This window comes from Homo sapiens, chromosome 6 (genome assembly GCF_000001405.40).
Source record: "Homo sapiens chromosome 6, GRCh38.p14 Primary Assembly".
Lineage (NCBI taxonomy): Eukaryota > Metazoa > Chordata > Mammalia > Primates > Hominidae > Homo > Homo sapiens.
Genome location: NC_000006.12, coordinates 158,806,420 through 158,832,298, shown reverse-complemented (window position 1 = coordinate 158,832,298; position 25,879 = coordinate 158,806,420). Strand labels below are relative to the sequence as shown.

The window sequence follows — 25,879 nt, the reverse complement described above, 5'->3', positions numbered from 1 at the left end:
CTGATAAAGCCACCGTTGGAGGGCATGGCCTCGATCTACAGGCAAATGGACTGCCTAAAACTGCATGATGGAATTAGACAAATATGCCCCCTGGCAGAGACAGCTCTAGGCCACCATGGGCCATCCACAGGGGACCAGGCCCCACAACATGCATGGCTGGAAGAGATAGAGCAGTGGGCGGGTCAGCTCCCAAGAGGAAGAGTGAGCCAAAGGGCTGGGCTCTGTATGCCCAGGTTCTCCTTCCAAATTCACCCACAGACAAGTGAGTCCTTCTCTGAGGCTCCAGGAGAGGCCCGACAGTCACCCTCACGAGCCCCCTCAGAGGGGAGGAAATCGTGTGTCCTCTACATGGAAGCCAGGTCTCCCCCTTCTCAGTTGCAAGTTCTAGGATCCGATGGCCAGACCTTGGGATAAAGGGAAGAGAAGGGAGGAAGAGCCACCAAGAATCGATGCCATCAGAGTTCTGAGCTTCGGGAGATTCACAAAACCCAGTTTGTCAACATTCCTATGGGCGTCATCCCTGCCCACCCGCCAGTTAGCACCTGCCCCACCTAGGAACCAGGGGATGACTATCCAGGTCAGCTCCACTTGGAGATGAGATGCAAAGTAGCTTTTCCATTGTGCGGAGCTGCTTTTACTTTTTCTTTCTTAAAAACAATTTCGAAATGAAAGCAAGTCTTAGGAAATCCATGCCAATAGTCCCAGCTTTGCTGTAGGTAGATCCAGGAGGAGAAGCGTGTTGTGGAATGGCCGTGCCTTTGAAAGTAAGCTGCCTGGAAGGGCAGGGACCCTGCACTCAATGCCCATCTGCTGTGGTGGTCATTCCACCAACCCTGAACAGCTCTCACAGCCACAACAATGGGGCAGATGGGATGTGGAGCCGTCAGAGGTGCTCACTGGTGAGAGGGCTGTGGACGCTGCCAGTCTAGAAGCAAAACACAACCCTGCTGGCAAGGAAGTGTGCAGAAACATGGAAGCCACTCTTTCTTATTGGCAGAGTAAGGGGTTGGGGTGTACAGCTCAGAACCCCACCAGGGCGGTCAGCATAGATGGGGCCTGCCAGGGAGGAAGAGCTGAGGCTAGCCATTTAGGGTGTTGTGTCCACCACGAAAGGGGGTCACTCCCTCCTCGAATGTCCCTTAAGTCTAAGGCCTACAGTTACCAACATGACAACTCCCCAAACTGAAAATGCGACCACGAGAGCTGCCTTTGCGTGTGCACAGAATGAGAGGCTGCGTGGATGGGCCTGTGTGTCTTCTACCACACCTAGACTCAGGGAGGACAGTCCCTGCCAGCACTGTCACCAGGGAAAGTCAAGCATGCCAGGAGTGACAGTGTTTTGAAGCCTAGTGGGACATTAGAAGTTGCCTGGTTAAGGCCGGGCATGGTGGCTCACGCCTGTAGTCCAGCACTTTGGGAGGCCAAGGCGGACAGATCACCTGAGGTCACGAGAACAGCCTGGGCAATATGGTGAAACCCCATTTCTACTAAAAATACAAAAATTAGCTGGGCGTGGCGGCACGCGCCTGTAGTCCGAGCTACTGGGGAGGCTGAGACAGGAGAATCACTTGAACCCGAGAGGCAGAGGTTGCAGTGAGCTGAGACCACATCACCGCACTCCAGCCTGGGCGACAGAGTGAGACTCTGTCTCAAAAAAAAAAAAGTTACCTGGTTGAACCCACGTATAGGACAGACACTAAGTGGATCTGCAGAGCAGAAGGCAGGGAGGAACACACATCTGGCCTGCACACGTCTCATCTGGCTTGCAGAGGATCTTGGAAAAAAACTGTAACTCATTTGCCAATATTTAAGAACTGGGAATTGGGCACGGTGGCGGCTCATGCCTGTAATTCCAGCACTTTGGAGGCCAAGGCAGGAGGATTGCTTGAGTTCAGGAGTTCAAGACTAACTTGGGCAATATTGTGAGGCCTCATCTCCACAAAAAATTTAAAAATTAGCTGGGCATGGTGGCATACACCTCTAGTTCCAGCTACTTAGGAGGTTCAGGTGGGAGGATCACTTCAGCTTGGACGTTCAAGGTTGCAGTGAGCCAAGAATGCACCACTGCATTCCAGCCTGAGTAACAGAGTGACACACTATCTCAAAGAGAAAAAAGAATTGGGAAATGTCACATAAAAATCAGGATTTCAGGGTTTTCTTGAAAATGAGACAGGTAGCAGGACAGGGCTCATGTTCTAGCATAGCAACAGCCATGCGCAGAAGCTGAGAGCTGGCCAGCCTACCTCCCAGCTAGCACGTCCCTCAGATGGCCGCTGTGCCAACACTCAGGGTCAATGGCAGAACTAGGACCAGACCCAGACCTTACAGTCAGTTGCCCTTGGACTCCACGTCCCAGTCTCTGTATTCCCCAGTCACATTCTCAGGGTGACCTGAGGACCCAGTCTGAGTAGGTGGCTGGGAACGGCAGATTGACAAAGTGACAATGCTGATTTCATGGAAATTCATGGGAAGTCTGGGAAAACCCAAACAGCCAAAGGCCAAGTTTTAGTTAAGCGTAAACTTCAAGATTTATCTGTCTTGCTCTCCCTTATAGCTCACTGATTGGTGAATGAAGTATGTGGCCCATGTTTCAGCCTAGGGTGAAGCACTGCCCAGGACATTACAAGATGACTTCCTTCTGGAACGAGTCCTTTTGATATTCAGTAAGATTCCACAGGGTCAGGTAACATTCGTTACCTGCTACAGAAATTTGTTTTCCCTGGTTATCAGAAGGCTTAAATTTTTTTTTTTTTTTTTTGAGACAGAGTCTCGCCCTGTCGCCCAGGCTAGAGTGCAGTGGCTCGATCTCTGCTCACTGCAACCTCCACCTTCTGGGTTCAAGCGATTCTCCTGCCTCAGCCTCCCGAGTAGCTGGGACTACAGGCGTGTGCCACCATGCCTGGCTAATTTTTGTATTTTTAGTAGAGACAGGGTTTCACCATGTTGACCAGGCTGGTCTTGAACTCCTGACCTTGTGATCCACCTGCCTCGGCCTCCCAAAGTGCTGGGATTACAGGTGTGAGCCACTGCGCCCCAGCTAAATTTTTTTTTAATTAAAGAAAATATTTCAAGTGCCAATTATCTAGTTTACATGTCAAATCTCTGGGATCCGGACATCTAAATGCTTAGTGAGACATTGTCTTCACTACAGAAAACACACGGGGCTCAGTTTTCAATTCAGTTCGATCAATATTTACTGAGCCCCTATGATGTGCAAGGCTCTATGCTAGGTACTTGAGATACCAAGACCAGTAGTCACTGGTCTCACCTTTGAGGAACTCACAGTTTGAGCAGAGGACAATCCAAATGACTGATAACCACCTGTGTCGTGCCGGGCATTTCAGCACATACTGCTTTATTAAGGTAGCCTTTCATAAGAAAAAAAAGAAGGAAGCGGAAAGAAATAAAAAATCAGGATGATTTAAAAATAATTCGTTTATATTCTGCAATTAAACACCTAATTAATAACATCTAATTTATTTAGGAAATTGTTTCATGTTTTTGGTTTTTTTCTTTTTTTGAGACAGGTCTCACTCGGTCACCCAGGCTGGAGTGCAGTGGCATGACCTCAGCTCACTCCAGCCTTTACCTCCCAGGCTCAGGTGATCCTCCCGCCTCAGCCTTCTGAGTAGCTGGGACCACAGAAGCGCCCCATCATGCCTAGGTAATTTTGTATTTTTAGTAGAGATGAGGTTTCACCATGTTGCCCAGGCTGGTCTTGAACTCCTGGGCTCAAGTAATCCTCCTCTTGCCTCAGCTTCCCACAGTGCTGGGATTACAGGAGGGAGTCACACCCAGCCACATTTTTTTTTTTTTTTCATATAAAACATTAACCCTTGGCCAGGAGCGGTGGCTGACGCCTGTAATCCCAGCACTTTCGGAGGCCAAGGCGGGCAGATCACCTGAGGTCCGGAGTTCGAGACCAGTCTGACCAACGTGGAGAAACCCCGTCTCTACTAAAAATACAAAATTAGCCGGGCATGGTGGCGCATGCCTGTAATCCCAGCTACTCCGGAAACTGAGGCAGGAGAATGGCTTGAACCCAGGAGCCGGAGGTTGCTGCGAGCTGAGATTGTGCCATTGCACTCCAGCCTGGGCAACAAGAGCGAAACTCCATCTCAAAAAACAAACAAACAAACAAACAAACAAAATTAACCCTTGCATAGAGGAAACCCAGCAACTTTAGAACATTGATTGTTCCTGCGGAGGGCTAGAGAGGCTTTAATTTATCTATCGCATTTTATTTCTTTTTCTTTTTTTCTTTTTTTTAAGACAGAGTTTTGCTCTTGTTGCCCAGGCTGGAGAGCAATGGCGCGATTTTGACTCACTGCAACCTCCACCTCCTGGATTCAAGCAATTCTCCTGCCTCAGCCTCCCGAGTAGCTGGGATTACAAGCATGCACTACCATGCCCGGCTAATTTTGTATTTTTTTTCTGTAGAGACGGGGTTTCTCCATGTTGGTCAGGCTGGTCTCGAACTCTTCACCTCAGGTGATCTGCCTGCCTCTGCCTCCCAAAGTGCTGGGATTACAGGTGTGAGCCACCACACCCGGCCGTTATTTCTTTTTTTTAAAAACCTGAAACTAATGGGATAAAATAATACCATTTGTTAAATTGAGATAGTTGTCTATTGAATTAACTCCTGAAGATTTAAAACATTTCACCATTTTTTAAACATTACAAAATAACATGTTTTATGATAATAGAGAGCAGACATAGCTCCCTTTCCTGAGAAAACAATCACCAGGAACACCAATCAATGCCCTCGGGCTTCCGGGCTGTCCTTCTGAGTTGCCTGCTCTGTACAATTCCTGCCTCTTCACCATCAAGCATTGCTTCTTACTGCTGTCAGTGTGTCTGCCTGCACCCTGCACCCTCTCTGCTAATCTGCCATGGCCTGGGAAAGGAACTAATAAAACTTAGACTCACAATGAAAACAGGAATTAATACACTTTAGGGGAAACCCAGAGAAATTCTAAAAACATGAATTCTGGTTTTTTTTGTTTTTTTTTTTTTTAACATCTGGTTTTCGATGGTGTTTTGGACAGCTGGGCTGCTAAATAAGACTTCAAGTAAGGTGTTTCCATGGTTAGCAACCCAGTGGACAGCAGTATGATACACAGGAAGGAAAACTTACCAGAGTACCCCGGTTCTGGAACTAACAGGATTTGTTCATTCATTTATTCAACAGATATTTATTGAACAGCTACCACACACCAGACACTGTTTTAGTTGCTGAGGGTCCATCGACAAACAAACAAGACTGAGAGGAGCTTCAACTCTTGTGGGGAGCCCAAGGTGGGTGGATCCCCTGAGCTCAGGAGTTCAAAACCAGCCTGGGCCACATGGTGAAATCCCATCTCAACAAAAAATACAAAAATTAGCCTGGTGTGGTGTCATATACCTGTAGTCCCAGGTACTTGAGGGGCTGAGGTGGGAGTATCACTTGAGCTCAGGATGTCGAGGCTGCAAGAAACTGTGTTCACACCACCACCACTACACTCCAGCCTGGACAACAATGAAAGTGAGACTCTGTCTCAAAAAACAAAAACAAAACACAATGGGGAAGCTGAGGCAGGAGGACTGCTTGAGGCCAGTTCAAGACCAATCTGAGCAACATAGTGAGACCCCTGTCTCTAAAAATAAATAAATAAATAAATAAATTAGCTGGGCGTGATGGCACGCACCTGTGGTCCCAGCTACTCAAAAGGCCAACGCAGGAGGATCGCTTGAGTCTGGGAGGTTCACGTTGCAGTGAGCCATGATCTTCATGATCTCACGACTGAACTCCAGCCTGCACAATGGAGTGAGACCCTGTCTCAAATCAGAAAAAAAAAAAAAAACACAAACCAAGGAAGAGAATTGCAGAGTCAAGTTCTCTGAAGGCAGTGAATCGGGTGAAGTGGCGGGGCACCAGAGGGTGGCTCTTCAGATGGCAGGGGCAGCAGGGGACAGTGGCTGGGAAGTGCTCTTAGAGGAGGAGGCACTGCTGCAAAGACCTGGAGGATGAGAAAAGGCCAGGCTGGCACAGATGGGGGACATGCCTTCCAGGCCGTGGGAATATGAAGCACAAGACCTCTAAGGCAGCAACGGGGCTGAGTGATCACAGATAAAAAAATCAGCAGCGGGAGCAGAGCCAGCTGAGCTCAAGCTCAGGGCGAGTGAGAGTGAGGGAAAGAAGACGCAGCTGGAGATGCCGATGCACTCCCGGCCAAGGAGGAGTTTGAATTTTATCCCCAAACCCAGGCGTGCACCATCTGACCTAGCCGGGAAATGTGGCTGTTTGGTCTGCTGGACTGGAGGCACAGGGGTGAAGGATAAAATGGGGTTGAGGCAAAAAGAGAATGCAGGTTACCTCTAGGTTTGGGGCCATGTAACAGCGTGTGTGGTGGAGCTCTTTGCTGAGAACAGGGAGGCTAGGAGGGAGGAAGTTCTTGAACAAACAAGAACCCTGGAGACACCAATAGACGGTTGTTGCTGGGGGAAAAGGCAGGGCTGGGGACGTGACTGAAGCCTTGGGATCAGGCTACATGACCTAGGGGAAGAATTCGTACATAGATAAGGGCTGGGAAGGACCCAGAGGGGAAGAGAAGAGAAAGCACAGAAATCCTAAGCACAAAATATGCTCAGGGAATGGTTGGACATGTGGAAAGCTGCTTAGGAGAAGGGTCAGATGAGGCCAAGAGGTTTGGCCTCTGGATTCAGCAAGATGGAGGTAATGTTAATATTGACAAGAGAAGTTTAAGTGCAGGAATGAGGACAATCAGTTTAATCTTTTGGGGCCCGGTTCCTCTGTCAAATGAGAGTATCCGAATAGAGGAGGTTTAAGCTTCCAACTACCCCATTATGCCACATACTTTTTTTTCAAAAAACGGGGAAAGAGGCCAAGCTGGGTGGCTCATGCCTTTAATCCCAGCACTTTGGAGGCCAAGGCGGGCAGATTGCTTGAGCTCATGAGTTCGAGGCCAGCCTGGGCAACATGGCAAAACCTTGTGTCTACAAATAATACAAAAATTAGCTGGTGGTGGCGCATGCCTGTAGTCCTAGTTACTTGAGAGGCTGAGGTGGGAGGTTGGCTTGAGCCCAGCAGGCTGAAGTTGCAGTGAGCCCAGACTGTGCTGCTGCACTCCAGGCTGGGTGACAGAGCCAGACCTTGTCTCAAAAACAAAAGGGGGCAAGTGTGGGTGGGGGAACAAAACAATGATCAAGGATAAGAAATCATAATAGGCTGGGCCGGTGGCTCACGCCTGTAATCCTAGCGCTTTGGGAGGCTGAGGTGGGTGGATCACCTGAGGTTGGGAGTTCAAGACCCGCCTGACCAACATGGAGAAACCCCCGTCTCTACTAAAAAAAAAGAAAAGAAATCATAATAAAGAAAGCTGTCCTATTTGGGAGTTTATTAGTCAAACAGGTTGTGTGATCATCAGTACTTGTTCTTTTTTTTTTTTTTTTTTTTTTTTTTGGTAGAGACAGGGTGTCCTTCTGTTGACCAGGCTGCTCTCAAACTCCTGGGCTTAAGTGATCCTCCCACCTCTGCATCCCAAACTGTTGGAATTACAGGTTTGAGCCATTGTGCCCAGCCACTAGTTCTCTTTTACACAGAAGTTATTAAGGATATTTGTGCAAATTATTAAATAAGCCAAGGAAACAATTAAAATAGAACAGTTAGTGGCCAGAATTCTTCTTAGCAGACCCAAATTATGTAAGTTGTGCCATCAAAACAGTACCAAGACACTCTTCAAAACAGTACCAAGACACTCTTCAAAACAGTACCAAGACACTCTTCCTAGCTTAGTATACTATAAAGATCCTTAAACATTTTTTTTTTTTAAATTGAGACAGAGTCTTGCTCTGTCATCCAGACTGGAGCGCAATGGTGCCATCTCAGCTCACTGCAACCTCCACCTCCTGGGTTCAAGGGATTCTCGTGCCTCAGCCTCCCAAGTAGCTGGGATTACAGGCACGTGCCACCACACTCAGTTGATTTTGTATTTTGAGTAGAGATGGGGTTTCACTATGTTGGCCGGGCTGGTCTTGAATTCCTGACCTCAGGTGATCTGTCCTCCTTGGTCTCCCAAAGTGCTGGGATTACAGGCGTGAGCCACTGAGCCTGGCCTTAAATATTCCTTCTGAATACAACGTATTTGGACTCCACCGAACGGCCACTTATCAGCTTGTCTGAGTCCTTAGTTGTTCCTGTGCTTGCTCACCCACTCTGAAAGGATTGGTCACCCTTCCCAAAGTCAAAAAGGAATGTTAGATGATATTAGGAATTTGCATGCCAAGTTCATAGAACTTTATGATTCCATGAAATGTTTCTCTGTAGCTATCATCTCAGCCAATGAAATGCTTACTGTCTTTTTTTTTTCTTAAATAAACATTTCAGGCCAGGTACAGTGGCTCCCACCTGTAATTCCGACACTTTGGGAGGCTGAGGTGGGTGGATCACCTGAGGAGTTCAAGACCGGCCTGGGTAACATGGTGAAACCCCATCCCTACAAAAAATACAAAAACTAGCCCAGTGTGGTGGCGTCGCCTATAGTCCCAGCTACTTGGGTGAGGTGTGGGGATCTCTTGAGCCTGGGAGGTGGAGGTTGCAGTGAGCAGAGATCACACCACTGCACTCCAGCCTGGGTGACAGAGTGAGATCCTGTCTCAAAAATAAATAAAATACAATAAAATAAAAATTTCAGACCAATAAAGAGGTAGGAAGGAGGCTATAAAGGAAACCCGTGGACTACCAGGCACCTTAGTCAAGTATTACCAAGACAGTGGAAACCTCTATGCTTCTCTCACTGTGTCATCGCCCTATCCTCCAGATTTAGTCACCGTCTTGCATTTTCCCCCAAGGTTATTAAGGGTGGAAAATAACCCCAATCCTTGTTTTGCCAAGAGTACTCTTTATGTATTTCCCCACTGCCTACTGACTGTTCTTTTGAAGTGACTACAGCTAGATAGAGCTTTGGTCACTTTTTTGTTACTGGTTGAGATTAACCCGGCACCAGTGTGGAGACAGGCTCCAAGGTGATTTGATAGAAATCTCCTGTATCAGTGGATGTGACTGTTCTGGGTACAATGGTTCTAGTCCGTGACACTGTTCTGAGCTTCCGGGAGGGCTGCCCTTCCTCACTTTAGTTTTAACCTTGTCTGAAGAACTCCCAGGAAATTACCAACAGCCCTTCACCAGGCTCAAGAGGCAGACTTAGGATTACCCTTCTCTAGCTGAAAAACTGGAAAATGGAAACCCGGCAATGAAGGGTCATTCAAGGTCTTATACCTAAACTAACAGCAGGGAAGTTTCCAGTAGTCCTGGCTCCAGTGTTTCCTCACTTCCTTCCAAGGCACTGAGTATCATATATTAACAAAAGGATGACTTTCAAACACAAGGAACAGCTTCACAAATGAGGGCTAAAAGGAGAGGCAAGTGAAATATGCGTCAAGGTCCTGCCACATCCTAAGTCAGTTGTTCTCAAATTGTGGTGTACATCATCAAAACCACGTGGGGACTTGTTAAAGAAACAGATTCCCAGGGGCTGCCTGAGACTTAGTCTTAGTGAGCCATAAGTCCTGGAGAAGGGCACTATGAGTGATTCTAATGCATATTCAAGTTTCAACACAGCTGGAGTTGAGTCTTCTGTGTGTGTGCTGGGGGCAGGGGTTTAGGTTCCAAACCCTGATGAAAATAAATTACCCTTAGAAAATCTTAAAACATTCATAAGATACACTGTAAGTGTTTCCTTGGTGGGCAGAACAGTACAGTAACATGTAAATGCTATGTTGTCATACTTACAGTAATGTAAGATACATGATAAGGAATGCATGTACAAATATGACTTTATACTATTTTAACTTATGTAAGAAAGATTATATAGCATCCCTCTGTATCCACAGGGGATTGGTTCCAAGACCTCTGAGGATACCAAAATTCTCCAATGATCAAGTTCCTGACATAAAAGGGTACAGTATTTGCATATAATGTACAAAATCCTCCTGTATATCTTAAATCATCTCCAGATTACTTATAATATGTAATATAATGTAAATACTTGTTATACTATATTCTGTATTGGATTTTTATTGGTATTTTAATTGTAGTATTATTTTTATTATTTTCCAAATCTTTTCCATCCAAGGTTGGCTGATTCCATGAATGTAGAACCTACAAATACAGAGGGCTAATTGTACATAAAAGTTGAGTGAGTCAAATGCTCATATGATATGATTCAGTGACACAAGAATACCATGAAATACATATTATCCTTTCCATTTTACAGATGAAGAGATGGATGCTCAGTCAGGTTGACAGACTTGCCCGAACGGACCAGGTTGGTCAGTTTGCAGGAAGCAGAATTCAGACTTAGCTCTGTTTGCCTCAAAAACCTGCCATCGTTTCATTTTTATTTTATTTTATTTATTTTTTGAGACAGAGTTTCGCTGTTGTTGCCCAGGCTAGAATGCAATGGTGCGATCTCAGCTCACTGCAACCTCTGCCTCACGGTTGGTTTCAAGTGATTCTCCTGCTTCAGGCTCCCGAGTAGCTGGGGTTACAGGCGTGCACCACCATGCCCATCTAATTTTTTGTATTTTTAGTAGAGATGGGGTTTCCCCACGTTGGCCAGGCTGGTCTCGAACTCCTGACCTCAGGTGATCTGCTCGCCTCAGCCTCCCAAAGTGCTGGGATTACAGGCTTGAATCATCGCACCTGGCCGTTTCATTTTTACCACACTGCCACAGGCCACTTCATTTTTTGGCATTCCCCTAAAGGGTAAAGTTCAGAAATGCTCTTCAAGGTCTTGGGGCACCGCTATTTCAAACATTCAATTTAGAAGACAGTATACTTCAAATGGAGCGAGATAAAAATTAGATTAGAGGCATATCCTATTATGAGAGTTGGGAACCCAAACTGGCTAACCAGGCTCCAGGCAGTGATAAGGCAGTGGAGGTATTGATGTCCAGTTGGAAACATTATCAGTGCAGGTAATTTAAATATCTTTCATAGTTTTCTTTCTACTGCAGTTACCATTATATCTTCATTTTATTTATTTATTTATTTATTTTTGAGACGGAGTTTCACTCTTGTTGCCCAGGCTGGAGTGCAATGGTGCGATCTTAGCTCACTGCAAGCTCTGCCTCCCGGGTTCACACCATTCTCCTGCCTCAGCTTCCCGAGTAGCTGGGACTACAGGCGTGCGCCACCACACCCAGCTAATTCTGTATTTTTAGTAGAGACGGGGTTTCTCCATGTTGGTCAGGCTGGTCTTGAACTCCTGACCTCAGGTGTTCCACCTGCCTCGGCCTCCCAAAGTGCTGGGATTACAGGCATGAGCCACAGCGCCCGGCCTATAACTTCATTTTAATAAAAAAGAAATTCAGGCCAGGAGTGATGGCTCACGCCTGTAATCCTAGCACTTTGGGAGGCCGAGGTGAGCAGATCACCTGAGGTCAGGAGTTCAAAACCAGCCTGGCCAACATGGTGAAACCCCGTCTCTACTAAAAATACAAAAATTTAGCTGGGCTTGGTGGCGGGTGTCTGTAATCCCAGCTACTCAAGAGGCTGAGGCAGGAGAATTGCTTGAACCTGGGAGATGGAGGTTGCAATGAGCTGAGATTGCGCCAATGCACTCCAGCCTGGGCAAGAAGAGCAAAACTCCGTCTAAAAAAAAAAGGGAAAGAAAAGTTCAGTCTTTCAGAGGGAATACACTTACCTGAATAGAGGTCAAAATCTCAGAAGAGGCCTCCCTCCTCTCTCTGACCTCTGAAATGCCCTGGATCTGCAAGTGGGAGATAACAGGCCCTGACAAAGGGTTGCCCAAACAGCAGTGTGTCCCTAGGAAGACAGGTTAAGCATCAATTACTATGAGGCTAGCACGAGTTAAGCATTCCACATGCACGATCTCATTTAATCCTTACAAGTCTATGTAGGTGGGGCTACTAGTATGTTCACTCAACAAATTGGGAAACAGAGTTTGGAACTTCGCCCAAAGTCATTGGTTTCTCTTTCTACCAGGATAGATTTAAGTGCTTACTAAGTGTCAGGTACTGTTCCAGGCATCGTACATGTACTAACTCATTATCCTCATTAGAACCCTCTGATACAGGTGCCATAATTATGCCGCTTTACAAACAAGAAAACTAAAAGCAGAAAGGGAGGAGTAAACCCAGGAGAGGAATTCAGGAGAAGCTCTGGTCTCAACCTTTAGCCAACATCACAATCACCCGAAGGGCTTGTAACACACTGATTGCTGGGCTCAGCCCTAGAGTTTCTGAATCCTAAGGCTGAGCAACACCTAATTTCCACTTATGCAAGTTCCCAGTGAATGCTGTTGCTGCTCGTCTGGAAGCCAGACGTTGAGAACCCCTTCTAGAGTGAGCTCTCCCGCAGCAAATTCTACTGGCCCCCAAAGTATGTGTTTTGTGTGTCTTAAAAATTTGTTGAGAACCATTAGCAAAAAAACAAACAAAAAAACTTAATTCCTAGAATTTCAGAGAAATCCCATGGAGCTTTTTGCCAGTCACGTCAAAAGAGGCCACAAACGTGCCACTTAACCAGAGCTTCGGAAAGGCGGCGGCTGGGCCGGCCACGTGCACCGAGACTCGGGGCCAGGTGCAGCCGCCCCAGGGCCGAGGCCTCGGAACTGGCCCCCGGTCCCGGCCCCAAGCGGTCCAGCGATTCCCCCAAGCCGTCCGCCCCTCCAGATTTATTTACGTTTTCCTGACTTCCCCCTGCCCGCTGTGGGACAAACAGCCTCCCCACTTGCATCTGCGAGGGGAGTAGCGCGCACTTCCGCCAAGTTCCGCCCCCACCCAGCCCGAGGCCCGGCTGCCGCCATCTTGCGGGGGGCGCACCTCACAGGTCGGGAGCTGGGCGGGAAGGGGCGTGGTCCCGGGACCCGCCCCGCCGGGGCTTTTGGGAGCGCGGGCAGCGAGCGCACTCGGCGGACGCAAGGGCGGCGGGGAGCACACGGAGCACTGCAGGCGCCGGGTGAGGCGTGCGGCGGCCGGGGTCGGGACGGGGGTTCTGGGCGGGGGGTTCCTGGTGGAGGGCCCGGGCGGGCGGCGGGGTTCGGCGGCAGGTGCGGCGGGCAGCCTAGGGGGCGCGGCGCGGGGTTCTCGCCCGGCACCCCCGGGGCAGGTGGAGCTGAGCCGGCCCGCGGCCCCGCGACCTTCCCCTCGGCGCCGGGTCCCCTCAGGTCTCTCCCGAAGGAAACGCGGAGCCTGGGTGCCTGGGCGCCGTCCCTCGGCGGCTCCCGAGCGGTTGCAGTTTTTGAAAGAGTTTCTCAAAGGCTTGACGGTTGTGACTGCAGCCGCGGGGCAACGGTTGCTACACAAAGTGAAACTTGCCGAGTGCTCGGCTTCTCACGGGCTTCCTGGCAGCCCCGGGAAGTTCCTCGGCGGACCCCGAGCCCGCGCCCCCTCTCCACGGATCCCTCCCCAGCGAGTGCCCCCCCGCCCGCCCTGTGCCCCCTCTCCCCTGACCCCTCCCTGTCGGGTGCCCCGCGGGCTCGCGCTGGCTGTCCCGGGACTCCTTCCTCCTAGGTGTTCCTCCTGCCCCTCGCCCTCTCTCTCCCAGGCGCGCGCTCCCTCTCCCCGGGCCTTTCCCCGCCGGGTATCCCTGGGCCCGCGCCCCCTCTTCTCCGCCTCTCTCCGCTGGGTGCACCTCGAGTGTCCCCCAGACCCCTCCCCGCCCGGCCGGCGCTCTCTCCCCTGACCCTCCTGGCCGAGTGTTCCCCGGGGCCCGCGCCCCCTCCCCCCGATCCTCCCCACTGAGTGTTCCCCCTGCCCTCTCTCTCCCGGGCCTGCGCCCCCCACCAGCCCCTTCATGCTGGGGGTCCCCTGGGTGCGCACCCCCTCTCCTCGGACCCACCCCCAACTGGGGGGCACCTCCAGTGCCCGCCGGCTGCCCCTTGGGCGCGCGCCCCCGCTCTCGGGCGCCTCCTCGCCGGGGGCCCGGCCCGGCCCCGCCCCGCCCGTGCCCCCTCCCCATGCCCGCAGTGCTGGGCGGGGCGCTGACTCACCCGGGCCCGGGCTGGCCGGTTCTTAAGCGGCAGCGCGCTGCGGGCGCCGAGTGTCGGGCGCGGCAGGAGGACGAGGCAGGGCGGGCGGGCGCTCTAAGGGTTCTGCTCTGACTCCAGGTTGGGACAGCGTCTTCGCTGCTGCTGGATAGTCGTGTTTTCGGGGATCGAGGATACTCACCAGAAACCGAAAATGCCGAAACCAGTAAGTTGCCCAGTTTCTGGGCCGGGCGGACGGGAGAGGCTTCATTGGAGAGGGGAGGCACCTGCTCGAGGTGTTGGGGCAGTTCCTGGGGAACAGGGTTCTTCTCACACGCAGAAGACGATAGGAATAGGAGGAGGTTTTCGCCGCTCTTTGTTACTTGTTGACCCTTTTGTGGAGCGTTAGGAAAACACCATTTTGATGCTTTTCTCTGCAGTCTTTTTCTTTGTGAGCCCCCTCCCCAGTAGTTACGGTCTTTTCTAAAAACTAGAGGCCTTTTTACACTGCTTCCGTCTGTTTTTAAAGGGTATAGTAATACAACTTAGAAGTTTCTTAAAAAGTCCAAATCACAGGGAGACTCAGATGGCTTCCGACCACACACACCAGTTCTCAGAGCTCCTAAGGGTCCGAAACCACAGGCGCCCCAGATCCAACTGGGGAGATATTAAAGGGCGTTTGGGAGAGGAGACTGGCTTTCGGAAGTTGCCTTTCAGCTTCGCTTCCTACTAGGCCCATGAAGCGGTGCCCTGTACACCAGCAAACTTGCTGGCTGCAGCAGAATTTCTGTCTCTAACAGAAGGTTAGCCATGGACTTGAATTGTAGATGCAGGCAGCCGGTGGAGTTTGATAAGAGGTTCCTGGCAGGCCGGGCCGAGCACTCCTGGTCAGCTGATGAAAGGGCTGTGCCTGCGCCTCTGTCTCCTTGAATCTGATTGTGTTGAGATTGCTGGCGAGACCTGGGGGTTGTAGGCACAAGGCAGGTTCTCTGGGACTGACGCTTCTTAGAAAGTTGTATGTATTCTACCTGCTTTTAACACTGGGGAACTGGTGACTAGACATTAGGGGGAAGGTTTAACATTTTTTGAGTTTTGAATCACAATGGACAAAATATCAGGATTCATTACAAATTGGGATTACAGATACATCTGGAATTTTTTTTTGGTTTTTCAAACAAGTTGGTTCTGTAATCAATGCTTGTGTGCCTTTTGTGGGGGATGGGGGAGCGGAGTCTCTCTCTGTGGCCCAGGCTGGAGTGCAGTGGCATGATCTCGGCTCACTGCAACCTCTGCCTCTCAGGTTCAAGCGAATCTCCTGCCTCAGCCTCCCGAGTAGTTGGGATTACAGGCATGTGCCACCATGCCCAGCTGGTTTTTGTATTTTTATAGAGAGGGGGTTTCACCATGTTGGCCAGGCTGGTCTAAAACTCCTGACCTCAGGTGATCTGCCTACCTCGACCTCCCAAAATGCTAGGATTACAGGCGTGAGCCACCACACCCGGCCTTGTGTGCTTCTTCTGTTACATTTTATGTTCTCTAAGATCTTTGTTAGAGGTATTAATTTTGCTGTTAGGATAAAGAATTAATATGCCAGTAGATTCAGAAGCCAATATAATTTTTGCCTAAGTTACATCAAGATGATTCATTTGTGATGCAGAGTATTTTCTATACAAAATTTTTCTTTTTAATTCAAACTTAAAAGTGACACGTGACATCGAGGCTTGACAGTGCATGTGGTATGAAACTGACCTAAGTACAACCCCTTACTCAGGCAGAGCTGAGTGCAACGGTATGCGGAGGAGTGGTCAAGAAGATTACCCTTCTGGGTGTGGTTTTCTTTATTTCACTAAAAGAAGAGGTGCAGAGCTCAGCTAAGATAGCACTCAGGAAAAAGTTAACCTGTTCTCCGTCACTACTTTTCTTTCTCATTTCTCATAATGAATGGTAATTTATTTTTATGGTTTCTTTTTTGTATTTTGGTAAAATATACAGTTTATCCTCTTACTTTTAGGTTTACATTTCAAGGTATTAAGTACATTTACATTGTTACATAGCCATCACCAAGGTCCATCTCCAGAACTTTATCTTCCCAGATTGAAACTCTGTACCTATTAAACTCTCCCTCCCCATCCCCACCACCAGCCCTTGGCAACCACCATTCTACTTTCTGTCTCTATGAATTCGACAACTTTAGATACCTCATGCAGGTGGAATCGTGATAGCATTTGTCCTTTTGTGACAGTCTCATTTCCTGTAGCATAATGTCTTCAAGGTTCATCCATGTTGCAATGTCAGAACTCCCTTCTCTCTCTTATTTCTTATGGCAGGTATGTTTTCATTTCATTTTGTTTTAGAGGTCTTTTATGATAGATCAGAACTTAAAAGATGTTTCTGACATTTGATAAAGTGAAGATAGTTGTGAAACTGTTAAGGAAAGACAGTAGCCATCACCTTGTGTATTAGAGCCAGAGTTACTCTTTGAAAGACTGTATTCTGTATAATATCTACAATTAAAATTTTTAAACTTTTTTTGAGGCCAGGCGAGGTGGCCTGATTACAGGCACGAGCCTGTAATCCCAGCACTTTGGGAGGCTGAGGCAGGCAGATCACATGAGCCCAGGAGTTCGAGACTTGCCTGGCCAACATAGACTCTGTTTCTACAAAAAATAGAAAAATTATCTGGGTGTGGTGGCTGGCGCTCTGACTGAGGCTGAAGTGGGAGGATTGCTTGATGAGCCCTGGAGGTCAAGGCTGCAGTGAACTAAGATCAAGCCACTGCATTCCAGCCTGGGCAGCAGAGTGAGATGTTGTCTGAAAACAAACAAAACCCCTTTTTTGAGAGGCTTCCTTTTAGGTCAGCCATACCTGTCTGCCATGGGAAATTTCTCCCTGCCCCCTCTTTGGCAGAGGAGGGTCTTAGAGATAAGTTAAACACACTAAGCCTTTCTGTGTGTAAATTATATTAGAGCCATCCCACAAATCACTGAGAAGAGCATCGTAGGTTGCACATATTTGAATATGACATTTCTTAAGGCTGTTAGAGAGGATCCAGTTAGTTTTGGTTTGGTTTGGGGTTTTTTTGCTGCCTTAGTAAATGTTAAAATGAAACATCCACCAACAGCTCTGTGGATGTGTCCTTTAAACAAAGGTTTATTGATTCTAATTATTCAAGCCTAAGTTAAGAATGTTAGCGAAGAATGTTAGGTGGTTTTCTTGGGCTTAATGTTTAACAACTGGATTAAGGGGCAAACACACTTAAAGGATGGATACCTCTGAGTAGTTGGCCTTCCACCTGATTCATTGCAACTGTTAACCCTTGAATTCAACGGGCAAAGTATTTTTGATTGATTTGCCTGAACTGAGTGAGTGGATGACTTTATTCATAAAACAGTATAACTGAAAATACTCATTTCCTGTGTTTTCTCCTAATACTGTTTCCCAAAAGCAACAGTTACTTAAAAGACTGAGGCGGTACACAGTGGCTCATGGCAGTAATCCCAGCACTTTGGGAGGCCGAGGTGGGCGGATCACAAGGTCAAGAGATCAAGACTATCCTGGTCAACATGGTGAAACCCCATCTCTACTAAAAATACAAAAATTAGCCGGGCGTGGTATGGATGCCTGTAGTCCCAGCTACTTGGGAGGCTGAGGCAGGAGAATCGCTTGAACCTGGGAGGTGAAGGTTGCAGTGAGCTGAGATTGCACCACTGCACTCCAGCCTGGCGACAGAGTGAGACTCTGTCTCAAAAAAAAAAAAAAAAAGACTTTATTCATCAGCAAGCGGAGTGACCTGCACAGAGGGCGAGGCAGACCTTGTTCTCTGGAAGCTTAGTGTCTGGTACCTGGGCCAAGATGCGGGGTAAATGCTGAAATTGAAAACCCGCTAAGTGCTGTCAGACTGGGAAAGAGCCTAGGTAACGTCGAGAGGAAAATCTGATGGGGAAAGGAAAATCATCTGATGGGGAAATTGGCAGACTGTATTGAGAAGTAACACTTCAGCTGAATCTTGCTTGAGGGCTGGGGGGCGCACGCGGCAGCACTCCACAGGGAGGAACAGCTGTGGTTTGTTGTCTGGTTTTGCTTTTCCCACAGCTGCTTAGGGACTCTATTCATGTGTGACTGGCTGACGTCCAAGGAGGGTGATTTGGGGTTCCAGAGGGAGCCTTGGCCTCTGTTCAGGCCAGTCCCCAGGACATGGTGTGCTGTGTGGCCTTGTGGGTCTGCCCCATCTAGGGAGAGTTGTAGGAGTTGGTGCTCAGATCATTGGTCCCGGAAGCATCCTCTCTGCCCGCCCCTTCATGTTAGGGTGACTGCGGAGCGCCTTTCTCCCACACTTGCTTTCTTCTGCCCAGTGGAAAGAAGGCATGGGGAGTGAGCAAGGAACACTGCTGTAGTTAAGCTCTGGAAGGAAAAGGGGATTGTGTTCAGGGCTGAGATCTCTTTAAGCTGTCATGAGAACCATAGAGCTGAACTGCCTTTAAGTGGCTCCAACACATCTTACCTGTTCATTTCTGAAGTGTTATAGACATTTCTAATACAAAAGCAGGTTTACCTTTCATTAGGAAAACTCTGAAAGTGTGTTCACATTTCTACTGTGCCAAAATTTTAAGGTAATTTCTGAGATTACCTTGCCTCTTTGGGAATACATAACCTTTTCTATTAAATATTTTAACAGGGACAGTTTACTGAATGTACTCCCCCCTCACAATCCCCTCGCAATTGAGGAGGATGCGTAGCATCTGTTTCCACCCCTCCTCCTCCACGAGGGGCAGTGGTGAATTAGGTAGCTAACATTTTGCCATGTGGCAGTGAGAGGTGCTGGTAGGATGAGTGATTTGCCATGATCACGCTGTAAGGCACAATGAATGTATTTGGATGTTCACAGACACAGTCCCTGTCAGTGGATTTACAGTCTGGTTTCGGGGACAGACAGCAATCCCAGAGTAAATGTAAAACTGCAGCTTCAGAGAGTATGCCTGAAGAGGGGTACATGAGGCCTGAGAGTAGATGAAGTGTGTATGTGCTGGTGGGGGTGCAAATAGGGGAGGTCAGGAAGGCATCCTTGAGGACGTGACCTCCCTGGGCAGAGGTAACAACGTGTGCAAAGGCCCTGTGGTGGGAGGAAGTAGTGTGAGTTTGGGGTTTCACATGAAGCCCAATGTGGCTAGAGAGGAAGACAGGTCAGGCCATGCCTTGTAAGCCATTCTTGGGTGTTTTTTAGTTTAACTTGGGGTTTTGACTGGGAGGTGACATGATCAGATTTGCCTTTTGAAAAGTTGACTGTGATCTGTAATAGGAAAATCACAGGAGGCAGGAGACAGCAAGGGTAGTTATGGTAGACCATTGAGGGAGCTCATAGCTTGGACCAAGGTGGTGGTGGTGGGAACAGAAGTGGATGCATTTGAGAGTTCTTTGGGAGGTAGAATTGATAGTGCCTGGTGATGGGTTGGATATGCAGGGCCAAGGGTGGTGTCGAGGCTGACTTCTCGTTTCTGGCTTGCGCAAGTGGATGTGTGGTGGTGCCATCGCTGAGGTAAGTAATCCTGGAGAAGGACCAGGTGTGGGGGAAGGTGGGGAGTCTGGATTTGTTGTTACATGTTAATAAGTTTGTGACAATCGTTGATGAAAAAAGTCCTTGCCTTCTTTCATTACTACATCCACTGCCCCCCAAAATATTAAAGGACCAGACTCCTTAAACTACGTTATTTTTAAATCCAAATAATTCAGTAGCTTTTTGTTTTCCCTAGTATATGTACACACCGTACATACCTAAAGTTAAGAGGAAGGGTTAATTTAGTGCAGTGTTCTCAAAATTTTGTGTACACAATTGTCTGGAGACTGTTGATTCCTGGGTCCCTTGAAGAACTAATGACTTCCATCTCTAGGGTGAGGTGCAGGCTGGGTGCTTATGTTTTAAATAAGCTCTCCAGATGGTACTGCTGATTCAATAGGAAAAGGGCAGTTATTATATATTCCTTTCTCCTGCACCCCAATCAAGCCCAGTGTGATTTCAGAGCACCCATTTGGGTGAAAGCAGTCACTTGATGCCCAGCCGCCTTACAGTCCGGCTGAAATGCCAGGAGTGCTGTTATTGGTATTTGGGACTCGAATAGGGGCTAGGATGACTCTGTGAAAAAGAGCCATAAAAACAAGAATTTCATAGCTAATTTACTGCTTACCTATACTTGGGCAGGCCATTCAACATAATATTCTTCTGACTTGAGTTTCTCTCTGCAGGGAGTCCAGTAACAGCTTCATTTGGCAGTGCCCAGTGGTCTCTCACATTTTGGCTCTTTGTTTTCAAAGAGAAAAAAAGAGGCTAGACCTTCCCTATAAATGGTAGGGAAGTAAGAGATCCCATTCCTTGTTCCTCTTTTATTCCTTCCACACTGGCCTCTTTTGTTAATGAAATAATGTGAATTTTTTTTTTTTGGAAACAGGGTCTCACTCTGTCACCCAGGCTGGAGTGCAGTGGCACAGTCACAGCTCACTGCAGCCTCAGTGCCCCGGCCCCCACCCTTGGCTCAAGTGATCTTCCCACCTCAGCCTCCTGGGTAACTGGGACCACAGGCACACACTACCACACCCAGCTAATTTTTTATTTTTTTGTGAAACAAGATCTCACTGTGTGGCCCAGGCGGCTAGTCTCAAATTCCTGAGCTCAAGCTATCCTCCTACCTTGGCCTTCCAAAATGTTGAGATTATAGGTGTGAGCCACCATGCCTGGCTGATAATGTGATTTCTAACAAATGTTGAATAATTATAGTTTGGGAAAGGAAAACAGTATCATTTAGTGAACTATAATTTTTTTCTTAATTTTTTTAACTTAAACTTTTATATCTCTTTGACAATTTGGAGATTCTTAGGGTGGTTTGATATACCTGCTTTCTAATGGTAGTTAGATGTTTCAGCTCTATTCTGAAGCAGTGAAATTCAGTCTGCTTTCTAATGGTAGTTAGATGTTTCAGCTCTATTCTGAAGCAGTGAAATTCAGTCTGCTTTCAAAGTCAGTGAATGCATTTTGAATTATCCCTTATTTCATTTCAGTAGTAACTACCTTGAGACTCCCCAAGTACTCCAATTAGTTTTTAATTTCAGCAGTAAATGTGTGTTGAAAAGACCAAAGTTTGCATTATTTTCCTTCTGATGTATTTACCATCCATGCCTGTTGACATAAAAAGATTTTTCCAGACTTGGGTAGTTTTCAGAACCAAACAAAACCCTTGTGCTATAATGTGACTTAGAGACTTTTGACTGAAATGCTTGATATAGTTAATACACATAATTTTTTTCAAAATGAAACCACAAAGAGCTATAAAGAGAATTTCATAGCTAATTTACTGCTTACCTGTATTTGGGGAAGCCATTTAGCATCTGTGAACCTAAATTTCGTCAGCCGTAAAATGGGAGTTAGTTTTTAAGTGGAAAGAATGTTACATAAGATAAACGGAGACAAAGTTTTTATCAGTGAAATCCAAACAACTCATCTTAAGATGCTGTAAGCTTTATGTGTTTCTTTTGTGTTTCCCTACCCCGCAAATGTTTTTCAAACTTAACCCTGTTAGGTAAAAACTCTGGGTTCCTATAAACGGGTAAAGTTTGTCCATTGGTCTTCTCAAGGAAAAAGCAATATGAACAGTTTGGGTTATCTTAGTAAAAGGGAGGACTCTGATTTTGTCTCATGTCCATCCTCTCTCTGTGTGTTCTAGTCGGAATTCCCTTATCAGTCACATGGGTACCACCTTCATGTTTTGAAGCGCTATTATATCCCATTATGTGCTTGGTGCAGGGACAATAAAAATAAGATTGGTTTTGCCTTTAAGGAGTTCTCAGTCTCCTAGTGAAAGCAGATATGTAAGCAATTACAATGCAGTGTAGTGCATGATAGAGGTCTTCACAGAAGAGAAGTGTGCCCTGGAGACCAGGGAGGGCCTCCCGGCTGGTAAGATCCTTTGGGTAAGTGTGGAGGGATGTGGGCTTCCCAGTCAGCAGTGGTCAGTTCTGTTTTCCTTTATTCATTAACCCGTTCTTAACACTTACAGGCAAACAGTAATGCTGTTTCAAAGGAAATGTAAAACTTCATTAAGTTATCCTTTTAATCTAATATACTTGAAAACAAAACCTTAAAAGCAAAATAAAAAATATCTCACCATGACCCACCTTTTATTGATAGGAGAGGAACCAGTATCACCTGAGGATCAAACTCTAGTAGTCAGTATATCAGATTTTGCTCATATTTTTAAGTTAGAAGTCACTTCTGCAACCTAATTTTGTTTTCCATTTTTGCCTGAGAGATCAATTTTAAACTGCCTGTGTGGACAGTTGTCATTTCAGATACTGTAAATAATTGTTTTTACTTTAGGATGGGGTAGGTAAACTATCATCTTAGGGCCGAGTCTGGCTGTGGCCTGTTTTTATTTGGTCTCCCAGCTAAAAATGGTTTTTATATTTTTGAAGGATTTTAAAAACAACAATATGCAACGGACTCCAAGTAAGACCCTCAAAGCCTAAAATACTTACTGGCTGGCTCTTTAGAGAAACAAATGGACCAACTCCTGCTTCTAGCATAAAAATAATTATTGTTAAGCATTTATTCTAACCTTGTATATATTTTATGGCTGGACTAATATTTGGAAGCAGATCCACCCCATTGGTTCCAGTTTTTAAAAAATTGTTCTCAAAGAACAGAATGTGTTTTGTTAGCCAATGTTGAGCACATCATGGACTCTGAGCATGGACTCAGAAACTACTGAGGAGAGGCATCGTGGTGCTGAGGTAATGTTTTAAACAAAGCTGGTGTTTGGGTGGGTCTTTGTGTAGAGAAAGTGGCAGTATCTTGTGTCACACTTGCTAAGCTATTGTGTAATGACAGATTTCTGGCATATGCTAAAAGAAAGCAATTTGTACCTGATGTTTGAGTTGGAAAGAGAATGTTATGTAAATGAATTGCTTTTTTCCTCATTGATAGTTTAAAATGAGCTTTTGATCTACTATAGTCTGTATGTGAATTTCTGACTGCAGATGTTTTGTAAGTCCATTCCTGATTCAGAACACCCTGTCTAAAGTACAGCTCCATCTCTGTGCCGTGCCCCACTTTACTGCACTCATAGAACTCGGTCTCCACCTATAACGCTGTCAGGTGCTTGTTTATTTGTGCTTTTTGTCTTTTCTGGCAGCAAAGCAAGAGGATAGGTGTTGTTTTTGTGTTTTTGAGATGCGGTCTTGCTCTGTTGCTCAAGCACGAGTGCAGTGGTACAATCATAGCTCACCACAGCCTTGAACTCCTGGGGGACCGCAGGCGCTCACTACCACACCTGACTAATCTTTTTATTTTTATTTCTATAGAGATGAAGTTTCACACTGTTTTGTGCAGGCTGGTCTCAAACACCTGGCCTCAAGCCATCCTCCTGCCTCAGTCTCTCAAAGTGTTGGCATTATAGCCATGAGCCACTATGCCTGGCCCAAGTTTGTTTGTTTGTTGTTTAGCATTATTATTTTATAGCAAACTTTAAATTCTTGTTTATTGGCAGGATAAATAGAGGGAAGAAGGACGAGCAAATAGGTAAACATACCTGCCTCCTAGTGGGTAATCTTGGGCAAGTTTTTTCACCTCCCTCTGCCTCCTCATCTGTAAACAAGATCCTGCGTGCCCGCCTGGGATGCCTGCTAAGATGGCACATGGGAAGCACCTGGCCTTATGCCTGGCCCTGGTCAGTAAGGGCTGTGCGGTTCCACTTGTACCTGATAAAATTCTAATCTGATTAAAAGCTTTACTAGCTCGTGATGGTCATTCTTTTCCTCTAACTTAGCAGCCCGATGAAATAATGTAGTAAGTAAATGTAACCTTGTTGTTTGTCCTTTTGCTGCCACGATGAACACAGCTGTCTTGCTAGACCTCTGTTGACTTCAACAGGGATAGCATCAGGTTTATTGGAAATTTACATATGGGACAGTCCAGTGGTGGTGGGTTGGACAGAACAGCAACTGCTTCCCGAAAGCTTGGAAAAAGCATGCAGTTTACACAGCATTCTTACTTAACATACTCCCCCTAACAGCCTCCACCTGGCAGCCTTAAAGTGCTTGTGGGCTGGGGGTTCAGATGTTCCCCATAGATAAGGAATTGATTTCAGGGTTGGCCACTAGGATTCCTTAGCTCGGAACTCCACACACGCATTCTTCTTAAGTTATTGATGTTAGGTACACCTGTACAACCACCCTGCATAAAGTTCATTCATTCAACAAATAGAGCACCTACTTTGTGCCAGGTTTTCAGGTACTGGGGAGACATTGGTGAACAAAAAGAGGCTTTTAAAGGATTATCACCTGCTTGGTTGACAGTCACATCCAGTGAATGGTGGAACCCATTTCCTGCTAATGTGTATTTGAGCCTGAAATGCACATTGTCCCACCTTTCCTCAATGGCAAAATGCTCTGGAAAGGAGATGCTGGTCTGACTAAATAAAATGGGCTTTCTGTTTGGAGTTGTAAAGGGAGCCGTGCCTTCCTCAGCCCCTCCTGAAAGAAAGACCTGCTTTCAAGAAGCTTATATTGCAGGGGGAAAGACACATGTCTAATACATCGTCAGGGGGTGGTGAGCGTGCTACTGTAAATTTTCACCTAGGCTTTGGCAAGAGCTAGAATTAACTTTCATTCTTTACTGACTCTTTGAAGCGTTAAAACCACTGGGCAGAGTGACTTAGGAGTGGGCCCACTGTGATGTGTTTTTGTTGGTTTTCTGGTAAATCACTTTTGGGTTGGACAGTGAACCATGATGGTCTTTCTTCAAGAACTTGTTTTTGCAAGGGTTTGGTGATAAGTCCATCATTTCCAAACCCACTTACTCTTCCATCCTTTCTCAGGTGCTGTGGTTCAGGGAAATGATTGTTTTGATAGTATTTTACCTATTGCACCATTACTTCATCTGTAAATTTCTTATAAAATATGTCTTGGGATCCAGCCTTGTCTTTTTTGTTTGTTTTTTTTTTTTTTTTTTGAGACGGAGTCTCTGTCTGTCGCCCAGGCTGGAGTGCAGTGGTGTGATCTGGACTCACCGCAAGCTCCACCTCCCGGGTTCACGCCATTCTCCTGCCTCAGCCTCCCGAGTAGCTGGGACTACAGGCGCCAGCCATCACACTCGGCTAATTTTTTTTGTATTTTTTAGTAGAGACGGGGTTTCACCATGTTAGCCAGGACAGTCTTGATCTCCTGACCTCATGATCCGCCCGCCTCAGCCTCCCAAAGTGCTGGGATTACAGGCGTGAGCCACTGCGCCTGGCCTGTTATGTTTTTAAAGAGAAAATTGAACCACAGGTCACTTGGTTAAAGCTTAGCACATAAATATGAGATTGGAATCACTTTATTTGTAAACATATATGTAGTGTATATTGGTACAGTATTTTCATTAAGGTGTGTTTCATTGCCTCAGTTAAATAATTAAGGGTGTTGGCTGCTGGGATGTTGAAGTATTTGCTTACATAATCCATTGCTGTTTGGGTGAGACTCTTAAATGGATTTAGACAGATAATGGTGAGAAAACTGGATTTTTTATTTAGAACGTGGCTGAACAAGGCAATGTGGAAATAGTGTGATAACAAGGTGCATTATATAACTTGAACAAATCAACTGCAAAAAGACATTTTCAAAGAAATGGAGGAAAATTGAATAATATTTACTGAACTTGACGTATTAAGGAATTGTTTTAAATTATGTTGGATGTGATAATGGTATTGTGATTTTTTTTTTTAGTGCTTTAGAGCAATATACTGAAGTTTTTACAAGTGAAATAATGAATGAGGGCCTTAAAATATGCCAGCAAAAAAAAAAAAAAGTGAAAGTGGTAGAGTAGAAGAAAGAATGGTGTTGAAGCTGAAAAGAGAGTGTGGAGGATC

The 25,879-nt window shown here is 46.6% G+C and overlaps 1 protein-coding gene and 1 long non-coding RNA gene across 3 annotated transcripts in view, besides 11 other annotated features; one reads left to right on the top strand and one right to left on the bottom strand.

Annotated features, from left to right (window-relative positions):
- Positions 4,915–5,004: an enhancer, noted in NCBI's record as "active region_25370". NCBI's record gives its function as "activates an Ori minimal core promoter by ATAC-STARR-seq in GM12878 lymphoblastoid cells {active_cell/tissue: GM12878}" and the evidence as "EXISTENCE:reporter gene assay evidence [ECO:0000049][PMID:35858748]".
- Positions 6,555–7,529: an enhancer, noted in NCBI's record as "H3K27ac-H3K4me1 hESC enhancer chr6:159245802-159246776 (GRCh37/hg19 assembly coordinates)". NCBI's record gives its function as "activates a minimal SCP1, AML or CMV promoter by ChIP-STARR-seq in naive H9 embryonic stem cells {active_cell/tissue: H9 hESC(naive)}" and the evidence as "EXISTENCE:reporter gene assay evidence [ECO:0000049][PMID:30033119]".
- On the bottom strand, positions 10,060–14,320 carry EZR-AS1 (EZR antisense RNA 1). The gene is made up of 3 exons (NR_102425.1): positions 14,194–14,320; positions 11,706–11,827; positions 10,060–10,159 (listed from the first exon to the last, which is right to left on the bottom strand). It is a non-coding gene; the product is annotated as an EZR antisense RNA 1 (long non-coding RNA).
- Positions 10,677–10,776: an enhancer, noted in NCBI's record as "active region_25369". NCBI's record gives its function as "activates an Ori minimal core promoter by ATAC-STARR-seq in GM12878 lymphoblastoid cells {active_cell/tissue: GM12878}" and the evidence as "EXISTENCE:reporter gene assay evidence [ECO:0000049][PMID:35858748]".
- Positions 12,648–12,697: a silencer, noted in NCBI's record as "silent region_17746". NCBI's record gives its function as "represses an Ori minimal core promoter by ATAC-STARR-seq in GM12878 lymphoblastoid cells {active_cell/tissue: GM12878}" and the evidence as "EXISTENCE:reporter gene assay evidence [ECO:0000049][PMID:35858748]".
- Positions 12,758–13,747: a silencer, noted in NCBI's record as "silent region_17745". NCBI's record gives its function as "represses an Ori minimal core promoter by ATAC-STARR-seq in GM12878 lymphoblastoid cells {active_cell/tissue: GM12878}" and the evidence as "EXISTENCE:reporter gene assay evidence [ECO:0000049][PMID:35858748]".
- The window catches only part of EZR (ezrin), a 53,621-nt gene continuing 40,672 nt past the window's right edge, over positions 12,931–25,879 (top strand). Inside the window, exons 1-2 of one of the 2 annotated variants that reach the window (NM_001111077.2) lie at positions 12,931–12,982; positions 14,133–14,217. In NM_001111077.2, coding sequence (NP_001104547.1) covers positions 14,206–14,217 — 12 coding nt within the window. In that variant the 5' untranslated portion in view covers positions 12,931–12,982; positions 14,133–14,205. Of the gene's footprint in view, positions 12,983–14,063; positions 14,218–25,879 lie in introns of those variants that run through there. The other variant, NM_003379.5, reaches the window with a different exon arrangement.
- Positions 13,888–14,087: a silencer, noted in NCBI's record as "silent region_17744". NCBI's record gives its function as "represses an Ori minimal core promoter by ATAC-STARR-seq in GM12878 lymphoblastoid cells {active_cell/tissue: GM12878}" and the evidence as "EXISTENCE:reporter gene assay evidence [ECO:0000049][PMID:35858748]".
- Positions 14,298–14,347: an enhancer, noted in NCBI's record as "active region_25368". NCBI's record gives its function as "activates an Ori minimal core promoter by ATAC-STARR-seq in GM12878 lymphoblastoid cells {active_cell/tissue: GM12878}" and the evidence as "EXISTENCE:reporter gene assay evidence [ECO:0000049][PMID:35858748]".
- Positions 14,830–14,999: an enhancer, noted in NCBI's record as "active region_25367". NCBI's record gives its function as "activates an Ori minimal core promoter by ATAC-STARR-seq in GM12878 lymphoblastoid cells {active_cell/tissue: GM12878}" and the evidence as "EXISTENCE:reporter gene assay evidence [ECO:0000049][PMID:35858748]".
- Positions 15,863–15,912: an enhancer, noted in NCBI's record as "active region_25366". NCBI's record gives its function as "activates an Ori minimal core promoter by ATAC-STARR-seq in GM12878 lymphoblastoid cells {active_cell/tissue: GM12878}" and the evidence as "EXISTENCE:reporter gene assay evidence [ECO:0000049][PMID:35858748]".
- Positions 16,195–16,254: a silencer, noted in NCBI's record as "silent region_17743". NCBI's record gives its function as "represses an Ori minimal core promoter by ATAC-STARR-seq in GM12878 lymphoblastoid cells {active_cell/tissue: GM12878}" and the evidence as "EXISTENCE:reporter gene assay evidence [ECO:0000049][PMID:35858748]".
- Positions 19,032–19,081: an enhancer, noted in NCBI's record as "active region_25365". NCBI's record gives its function as "activates an Ori minimal core promoter by ATAC-STARR-seq in GM12878 lymphoblastoid cells {active_cell/tissue: GM12878}" and the evidence as "EXISTENCE:reporter gene assay evidence [ECO:0000049][PMID:35858748]".